The sequence below is a fragment of the Homo sapiens genome, chromosome 2 (genome assembly GCF_000001405.40).
Source record: "Homo sapiens chromosome 2, GRCh38.p14 Primary Assembly".
Taxonomy (NCBI): Eukaryota; Metazoa; Chordata; class Mammalia; order Primates; family Hominidae; genus Homo; species Homo sapiens.
In genome coordinates, this window is record NC_000002.12 from 105,927,531 (window position 1) to 105,937,869 (window position 10,339).

Consider the following 10,339-nt stretch of genomic DNA (forward strand, 5'->3'; position numbering starts at 1 on the left):
TTGGAAATGTGGCCAGGTTCTGCTAGATAGCTTTGAGAGTAGCTCTAGGGGCTCCCCCTAAGGTCTATTTATTCAGCTTTTCCAAGGATTTCATAAGCCATTTAGTAGCCTGTGATACATCCCTTTCTGCTTAAACTAGGTCAAGTATATTCTGTGAAAATGAACTGGATGAATTCAGGTGCAATGTAGGGAACATCTCTTAGAAAACTAAGGCAGGAGCCTTGGTGTCTGAACTGTGGCAGAGCCAGTGAGGCCTAACCATAGGGGTGATGGAACACTGACAGCAGTGTGTCTCCTTGCCTCAAGTCTGGCTGGATCCTAGGATCTAGGGCAAGGGCTGGCCTGAATACAGCAGCCCAATGGCCCCAACAATTGGACAATGAGGGAAGCGATGAGTAGGAAGTCATCAGGGCCTCCTATATGCTATGTGTGAACAGCAGATCTATATTATCAGGCCTGGCAGGAATCCAACCCCTCCACTTTGCAAAGAGGAAAGTAGATGATACATGACATATTTAGAATTATGGGGGCTCCCACATCTTAAACATTGCAAATAGCTCCTGGTATGTGTAGGGTGCTTCATAAATTGTGCATAAAATGGTGAGGCAAAGGAACCCAGGAAGGGTTTATTGACTTGAATATATTTTATTCATAACTGTAGACTCCCCATCACTCACTCTCCTTCAAGCACATATCCATTGAGCCATCATTGAACATGAGGATTACAGCGAGGCATCCCAGAAGCAGCAGTTACTATGATTGTAACCTGGGGAGAGCAGCAGCCGAGGAATCTTACAAAAGGGTTGTGGCCATTTTCCCATGAGTGAAACAAACATAAAAGCAGTCTCCCAAGGACCACATTTATCACTGATCGATGGAGTGCTTTGCCAATTTAGGCAGTAGGAGGTTGTTTAATTATAACAGAGCAGTGTTGCGGATTACATCAAACATTTGTTTTACATCTGAGAACCCTGGAAATGAAAATTAATAGATTGATGCAGGATCACCCTTGCTTGCCGGGGACCAATGATTCTGAGTAGGTCGGTGATTAGTCATTTTCCTTTGAGTTCATTTCTATGATGAAAAGTAAAAAAAAAAAAAAAAAAGGGATTTCAAGAAGGAAACTTTTGTATGGAAATCTGGCAAGTTTTCATAAGAACTCAATTGTTCTTTTGTTTTCTGACCTGTGATATGAGGTCGTGAGCCTGAACTGGGTCTCAGCTGCCATTCATAAGACACCAGCCCTGCTCAGGCAGGCAGACGTGAAGTCCTGCGGTGGCTGTGCCCTTGGGACTGGACGCCAAGAAGTTCCACAGTGTCCAATGGAGAGTGGGAAGGCAGGTCCTCTGAAGGGCAAGGGTATTGTCAGCGTCAGGAGAAGGAGGGAATTCCAAAGGAAAAGGGTGGATTCTGTAGGCAGCTGGCAGACATCGTCCACAACTAGTCGGGGCGGACTTTAGTTGTCATGAAGATTCAAACAAATGAAAAGGCATAATTAATTCAACCAAATGAGGCCAGAGCTTTTTATTTTTAAATTCTAAGCCCACTGATTTCCTTTACATGTGCAGACCCAGTAGAAGCAGACATTGCCACACAGTGAGGCTGCTCTGTGTAATAAATGATGGTTAAGTGAGGATGGAACCAAAAGGCTGAGCATAGAGGAAGAATATGCCCGAGATGTCAAGACCTACCTCCTATAGGTGAAATCTCTTTGTGTTTTTGTTTTTGTTTCGAAACAGGGTCTCCCTCTTTTGCCCAGGCTGGAGTGCAGTGGTGCCATCATGGCTCACTGCAGCCTCAATCTCCTGGACTCAAGTGATCTTCCTACCTCGGCTTCCCAAGTAGCTGGGACTATAGGCACATGTCACCATGCCCAGCTAGTTTTTAAAATTTTATGTAGAGAGAGGGTCTTGCTATATTGCCCAGTCTGGTCTCCAACTCCTGGGCTCAAGCGATCCTCCTGCCTTGGCCTCCCAAAATGCTGGGGTTACTGGTGTGAGCCACTGCTCCCGACCTGTTTTGTTTTCAAAAGGTGGGCCAGGTGTGGGAAGCTGGTGATAGAAGCTGGTTGCAGAAGCAGTAAGCCTCAGTGTGACCTGAATCGAGGATGTGGGAGGCATCTCAAAGGTGCAGAGATGAGCAGGATGTGGGGCTATAATGAAACATAACAGCAGCCAATGTTAGCAAGATGGAGTGGAGCAAATGAGTTTTCTGGCCCTCTTCCAGCCATGCCTCAGCCCCAGCTTCCTGGCAGCTTCCTGCAGCCTGGCCAAAGGCAGCCTTTCTTCCAGAACCCCCACCTTCTTGGAGGTTTGAAGCTTGGATATAAAACAATATAAATGATTATTGAATAAGGTCCTTCATCCAACACTTCACAAATCTTAGAGCTGTCTGTTGGAAATTGATTATATTTGTTCCCCAGAGTTAAATGAATTAGGCATTGATATAAGGCTCTCTCTCTTACTCTCAGTACATACATTATATATATATATATATATGTGTGTGTGTGTGTGTGTGTGTGTGTGTGTGTGTGTGTGTGTGTGTGTATTTTGAGATCTTCTATGATCATATAAATCAGAGGGCAATTAAGTTCTTCTGCAGTCTGGAGGGCAGAATATCAAAACTAGGCAGAGAAAAATAGTCTCACCTGGTTGAGTATCAGCAAATTCCTCTTTTATGGTTAAATCAAGGGCCATTTTGCCAAATGCCAGTGACCAAAATGCCAGAAACTAGAAGCTACTGAGACTTCTCTGGAGCTTCAGTAGTGTCTGCCTTGTAACTTGGACCATTTCTTCTAGAGAGGGAGAGGACCTGGGAGGTGGTGTGGGGACAAGGGAGGGAGAGGACCTTGAGGGACAAGGTCAGGGCAGAGGAGGGAGAGGACCTTTAGTAGAAGTGCAAAAATAAGAGTCGCTTTCAATGTATCTTCGCTGCAGGTGCTCAAAAAAGGCAGAAGGAGCTTGTCCTCAACAACTTTAGAAGTCATACAAAGTGTTTTGCTCTCAGGGAGTCACAATATTTATTAATATACACATGCTCTGAGCATTCCTGCAACAAAGAAATCTGACTTGGGTCAGCCCAGCGTGTTACAAGCTGGCCAACACCATTTTGCAGTTTACACCATAGAGTACACTGAGGAATGCCCTCCTGGAAAACAAAACTTGCTGTGGGGCCTCTGTCTGGGGAGGAGGGGGTCCATGATGCAGAACCTCTCCAGGCAGTTTCAGGAGTCCGTTTGTGAGGGGCCACTATGGGAGGCATATTTTGACTACGGTAGTTGCATGGTCTCTGACTCTGAAGACCCAAGAGGGCCTGAGGGTAGAGAGTAGAGAGACCAGAAAAGAAGATACTGGACTCTCTTTAGGGTCCTCCCAAGCGTATTGGATTAAGAAAAAGTGTGGGTCAGGTGTGGTGGCTGATGCCTATACTCTCAGCACTTTGGGAGGCTGAGGAGGGTGGCGCACTTGAGGTCAGGAGTTTGAGACCAGCCTGGCCAACATAGCGAAACTCCGTCTCTACTAAAAATACAAAAATTAGCCAGGTGTGGTGGCATGCACCTGTAATCCCAGCTACTCGGGAGGCTAAGGCATGAGAATCTCTTGAACCTGGGAGGTGGAGGTTGCAGTGAGCCAAGATCGCGCCACTGCACTCCAGTCTGGGCAACAGAGGGAAACTCTGTCTCAAAAACAAAAAGAAAAGAAAAACTGTGAAAGGGGATCTTAGGTCTCTTTCCAGAGCAGTGCTGATTCAATAGAAAATAATGCAAGCCAAGATGTAATTCTAAATTTCCTACTAATAAAAGTAAAAAGAGGCCAGGCACGGTGGCTCATGCCTGTAATTCCAGCACTTTGGGAGGTCGAGGTGGGCAGATCATGAGGTCAGGAGTTCAAGACCAGCCTGGCAAACATGGTGAAAACCCATCTCTACTAAAAATACAAAAATTAGCCAGGTGTGGTGGTGTGCACCTGTAGTCCCAGCTACACAGGAGCCTGAAGCATGAGAATCACTTGAACCCGGGAGGTGGAGATTGCAGTGAGCTGAGATGGCCCACTGCATTCCAGCCTGGGTGACAGAGCAAGACTCGGTCTTGGGGGGAAGAAAAAGTAAAAAGAAATATTTGAAATTAATTTAATAATATATTTCATTTAATTTGATACACTACAAATTTTTATTTCAACATATATTCAATATAAAAATTATTATTGAGGGTTTTTTTTTTAGTAAGTCTTTGAAATTCAATATGTATTTGATACAAGGAATATATCTCAGGGCTCTGAATCCACAAAGTGACCTTGAGGCAGAACTGTAGGTGTGTAGGGAGGCTTCCAAGATCCCGTGCTAGGACCTCACCTCAGGTAATTACAGGGATCCTCATCTCTGGGGAGGGAGACTTGCTGGGTAAAGAAGGAGCCACAGGCCAAGAGACCCACCTATCTGCTAAATTGCAGGGAGGGGAGAAAAAAGAACCTGGTTACTTCCTCAGGTGATAAAGCTGGCCCCACGCCCCACTTCATTGTTTAGACTTCTTCCCAAAGGAAAAAACCCCCTCTGTCCCATGAGTATGTGGCAAAAAAAGTGGACCTTGGTTTTTCTCCTTCTGAAAGAGGAAAAAGGAAAAGGCCACATGGCCAACCTGGCCAGCATCTGGTTCTGCCCACCTCCTTCCCATTGCCCATTGGGCTTGAGTTGGGCTCCGGGTGGTGGCAGATGTCCCCCCCAGTGGTGGCTGCTGTCCTCATGGACCTAGGCAACCTACTGATGTCACCAAAGGAAGTATGTGTTTTTTCTTTTGAGACGGAGTCTCGCTCTGTCGCCCAGGCTGGAGTGCAGTGGTGCCATCTCAGCTCACTGCAAGCTCCACCTCCCAGGTTTATGCCATTCTCCTGCCTCAGCCTCCTGAGTAGCTGGGATTACAGGTGCCCACCACCACGCCCGGCTAATTTTTTTCTATTTTTAGTAGAGACAGGGTTTCACCGTGTTAGCCAGGATGGTCTCAATCTCCTGACCTTGTGATCCGACCGCCTCAGCCTCCCAAAGTGCTGGGATTAGAGGCGTGAGCCACCACGCCTGGCCAGGAAGTGTGTGCTTTAAAAAGCTTCTGTTCTCTGAAGTTCCATGGGAATGACACTGAAAAGCAAAGCCAAGTTCACCAACCCTTAAAAAAAATAACAAAGCTGCAAGAACAAGATTATGTGTTTTGGAGGCCTGATCCTGCTCACACGCAGGGCAGTCAGTACAAGACAGCTCCAGAAGACCCATTTCACTGGGGCCAGGGTCACGTGGGTGCAAAAGCTGCAGAAGAACAAGGAAGGATTGGCCACACACAATGACCTGCTCAAAGGGAAATAAGGAAGACTTGAGGCATTAGCCTTGGCAGGACTCAGCGTGAGTGGATCCAGTGCACTGAATTCTGTGCTTCCAGTGGTGCCCTATTCTCTCTTTGGAGACAGAGGTCAGCACAATGAGCAGAAAGGACAGACAGATTTACTTGGTGGCAACAAAACAACCATTCTTCTTCCCTGGACTTGGAGACATTCTGAGAAGATTAGGAAATATTCCTGAGAAGGAATGCCAATGGGAGTGATTGGACTTCATTTGTTCCTTACTCTAGAAGACTGCACTAATTGAAAGACCGCCTTGTGCCAAGTGATGTGCTTGGTACTCAGGATACAATAGCTGGAGCACCCAGACTCCAGAACCTCCCTTGTAAAGCTTACTCTCTGCAATGGAGGTGGCCGGCAATCATGTCTGCCCCTCCAGTCTGGGAATTCTAAAGGGAGAAGCTCTTGATCCTCCAGCAACACAGCTTTGGGCAAGACAGTTAACACTCTAAGAAGCTGGTAGAACAACTCAAGGCTTTCTTATTCCAACAGGTCAAAGAGGCAGAAGCACAAAGAGATGACAGTTTCAAGTTGTGGAAAAGTGCTGGTAACTCCAGGTTGGGTGCAGACCCTGAGACCAGTAAGGGGCCAGAAAAGAGAAAAGGGGCAGCGTCTTTGCCTCTGGGTGGCCACAGCTTTCGTGTCTTCAATAAGCGATATGACCAGTTGGATGTGCTCCTAGATCCCTTTCGGTTTTACAACTCTAGATGAACTCACGAATGATAGATCCATAATCAGGAGTTAAGGGGAAAGTAGGGACCCCTGGATAAATTTCAGAAATTTTCAGCTCATCCAACAAAGTCATTAATGTCCCCGCACAGAAATCATCATCAGGCTACTGGGTCTCACCTCCTGGGGCCCCCACTTCTGGAGCTGGTCTTTTCCATTAAGAAAACCAAAGGTGTCAGGGTCAGAAGGTGGTATTGCAAGATCTAAGAACTCCACTAGGTGCTGTTTGTGAAGCAGCATCATTGTCTGGGGTAAATACCAGGGGTTTGTTGTCTCACGCCAAGAAGATTAAGGATACGAACACATGTGGGTGGGTTAAGGAGCAGAACATTTAATAGGCAGAAGAAAGGAGAGAGAGAGAGCAGCTCTCTCTTGTGAGAAAGAGGTATCTGAAAGGGAAAAGCCAGCCCACAGTGGACTGCAGGCTTGAGGAGGCGGTGTCTGATTTACATAAGGCCCCCAGATTGGTTTGACCAGGTGTGACGTTTACCTGGGGAGGGAAGGCTGGTTGCCCCACCCTAATCTTATTATGTAAGTGGAACTGCCACTTGGACAGTGCCATCTTGTCTGCTCCTTACTATACACATGGCTGGAAAAGAGAAGAGAAGGTAGAGCCACCATTTTGATCATGCCTAGGCACAGGTAGCCTTTTTCTATTGGCCCAACTGCCAGCATTCACCCATGCAAGCTTCTAGCTTGCTTGTCTATGTCTGCAGCTCGATTTTACAGGCTGCTATTTGTTAGAAAATAAAATGATTTGGGGGCTGCTTTTCACTAAAAGGAAAACCTTACTGAGGACTTCTGTACCCTCACTATCTGCTTAAGTACTTTCTTATTAACTCCTATATCACTTGGGCACTCTGGAAGTTTCACAGCTGAACTAAATGAATCTAGGGCTGTCGCCTTGCCTGTTGCCTGCCACACAGAGCACGGAAACATTGGCACTAAGGAAAGGCTCCCAAGGGCATGTCTGCTAGGGATCCTTAGCAGAGAAATTGCAGCTGAGCTCTGGACCTCCTGACGCCCAGGCCTGTGACTTGCCAAGCTGGGTAAAATTGCTGCTTGCAGTGAGATCAAAGGAGAATCTGCAACCTTATGACTGAAAAGTCAACCTCAGGGTTAACCCGTTGAAGGCGTGCTTTCAGCAAGGGGACGATTTTCTCGGCCAACTTTAGATAAATGAAATCAGCCTAGAGGGAAACAAATCTTTCTGCCAAACTCCATTTGAAATAACAAAGAAGTCTTTTAAGACTATGAGAAAAGACAGAATACCTTTAAAACATTTTAAATATAATACAGCTGGATAAGAAATGTTAAAAGCTAGAAAGGCTGCTCAAAAACAATAGGACAATTAGAAAGTTGTTTAAGTAATTAGCATGCCAACCATGATGTTTTAAAATGCCCCTGGATCTCTTAGTTATCTGAATAAACTTAGAACCTAGCCTGAGTCCGATTTTCTTCCTGAGATCAATACACAGCATCTTTCTAACCTAAAAGCAAATCACTTTACAAGTGCTCAGGAAATGACTGCTAAATGGGTTAAGTGTAACTCTTAGTTACACATCTGTTCCTCTGAGCTTAGAGTTCCTTGTACTTGAAAAAACAAAAAATTCTCCCTCCCTGACCAACCTATCATATAGCTAAGCTCTTAATATAATTTGCATTCGTCAAGCCTGTCAAAATAACTTCTAAAGCTTCCCCTGTCTGCCCTGAGGACTCCATCTGTAGTGCGACTGCCAGTTTCTGGTCTCCTGAAGTGGGTTTCATACCTTTTCCCACCTCACTACATGCCCAGTGAGATCCCAGAGAGTCAAGGTAGAGAAACCCAACCCTGTTATCCTTGCCACCTCAAATCTTTAGTTGACTGGGGAAAGGAGTGTGTGTCTACTTGCAAAGTAAATCCCTGTGACCCCAGGCAGACGACAGGATTTTATTTTTCTTGCTGATTAGAAAGCTGGATATTCAGAGTTGAGGGGCTCTATTACAGGATACCTTTCTTGGGAAGTTCAGCTACCAAAGAATGGAAAGGGAGGTTTCATTCTGAATATTCACTTCCAGATGTAATCATGCACATGCTCCTTGTAAGTGTTCTGTTCGGACGCTCCACTCAGCACACACACTCACACATATGTCACAAACACACTCCTACCCACCACACATACACACACAAACTCCTACCCACTACACACACACATCCACACACACACACCCCTACCCAACACACATCCACATAAACACAGCCCTACCCAACACATAAACATCCACACACTCACACCCCTACCCAACACACAAACATCCATAAACACACACCCCTACCCAACACACATCCACATAAGCACAGCCCTACCCAACACAAACATCCACACACATATACCGCTACCCAACACACATCCACATAAACACAGCCCTACCCAACACACAAACACCCATACACACACATCCCTACCCAACACATAGCCACATAAACACAGCCCTACCCAACACACAAACATCCACACACTCACACCCCTACCTAACACACATACATCCATACATACTCCTACCCAACACACAAACACCCATACACACATGTCCCTACCCAACACACACCCACATAAACACAGCCCTACCCACCACACACACATCCATACACACACACCCCTACCCAACACACGGCCACATAAACACAGCCCTACCCAACACACAAACATCCACACACACACCGCCACCCAAAACACATACATCCGTACACACACACCCCTACCCAACACACATCCACATAAGCACAGCCTTACCTACCACACACACATCCACACACTCACACACCTACCCAACACACACTCACATCTACACAGAGCCCTACCTAACACACACACATCCACATATACACCTACCCAACATGCATACATCTACACAGAGCCCTACTCAACACACACATCCATACACTCACACCCCTACCCAGCATGCACACATTCATACGCTCACACACCTGCCCAACACACACACATATCCACATAAATCCAGCTCTACCCAACAAACATCCATACACACACCCCTACCCAACACACACACACACTCACACACAAACACTCCTACTCACCACACACACATACACCCACACCCCTACCCAACACACACACACCCACACCCCTACCCAACACAAACACACATCCATACACACACCCCTACCCAACACAAACACACATCCATACACACACCCCTACCCAACACACACACACCGCTACCCAGCACACATACACTCACACCCCTACCAACACACATACATCCATACACTCAGACACCTACTGCACACACCCCTACCCAACACACATACACATATACACACACCTCTACTCAACACATACACACTAACTCATAAACACATTTTTACACACTTGCACAGACACGCACACCTCTACTCACATAGCCTTTCTCACGCATACACACACACACACTCACACACACACCTACCTTTCTGCTCACAGCCCCACCTTGTTGTCCCATTAACCTAGCCATTTTTCTTATTGAGTCACACTTATGAATGGGATCTGCCCAGACTTCTTCAAGGCCGGGTGACCCAACTAACTGGTAGCTTAGCTGAGAAGTCACTCCCAGACCCTGGGAGCAAGTGTGCCTTTCGCCAATATTGGGATGATCTTCCCGTGACCCCACAGAAGCTCTACGTCATCTTACAGTCTCTTCCTTATTCCCTGGCCAGTCACCACATTCTGCTCCTGCTTCCTTTGCAAGCTCTTCAGAACTCATCTGGCATTTCCCTGGCTAACACCCCAACCTGAGTCCAGCTTCCTATTTAAATGGAATCTTAGTGGGTCTCCCTGCCTCTAGCTTCTGTTCGCTGAAATCTACCCTGTGCTGTGCTACCAGATGGGGTTTCTTAAGTTATCACTTTTTTTGTTACCCCTCACCCAGCTATTGATGGCTCCCACTTACCTGCAGCTGATGAGTAATTTTGTGGGTCCGTCTAGCACTCGAGGGCTCCACAAAGGAGCCCTCTGTCTCTGCAGAGGCACTGTGCCGGGTGAAATGAGGCCAAGGTTTCCAGATCAAGCTGAGCTGGGGTTTTTCCCAGTTTTGCCACTCACTGATGGGTAACTTGAGGTCAGTTACCTGACCCTCTGAGCCTCAGGTGTCTCATTTATAAAATAAAAACAACTGCTATTTATTGAGTGCCTCCTGTCTGCCAGACACTGGGCCAAGCCCCTGTGAAGAACTGACCCAGCCGAGTTGCC

General features: G+C 46.6%; 1 long non-coding RNA gene across 3 annotated transcripts; it reads right to left on the bottom strand.

Moving 5' to 3' along the window:
* Positions 1 to 557: 557 nt before the first annotated feature.
* On the bottom strand, positions 558 to 10,135 carry LOC105373530 (uncharacterized). Of its 3 annotated transcripts, none has more exons than XR_923142.3 (3): positions 10,041 to 10,135; positions 2,648 to 2,847; positions 558 to 1,454 (listed from the first exon to the last, which is right to left on the bottom strand). It is a non-coding gene; the product is annotated as an uncharacterized LOC105373530 (long non-coding RNA). The 3 variants fall into 3 exon arrangements; XR_001739627.2 differs by lacking the exon at positions 10,041 to 10,135 and adding an exon at positions 4,351 to 4,466; XR_923143.3 differs by lacking the exon at positions 2,648 to 2,847 and having other exon boundaries at positions 559 to 1,074; positions 1,185 to 1,454.
* Positions 10,136 to 10,339: the final 204 nt, after the last annotated feature.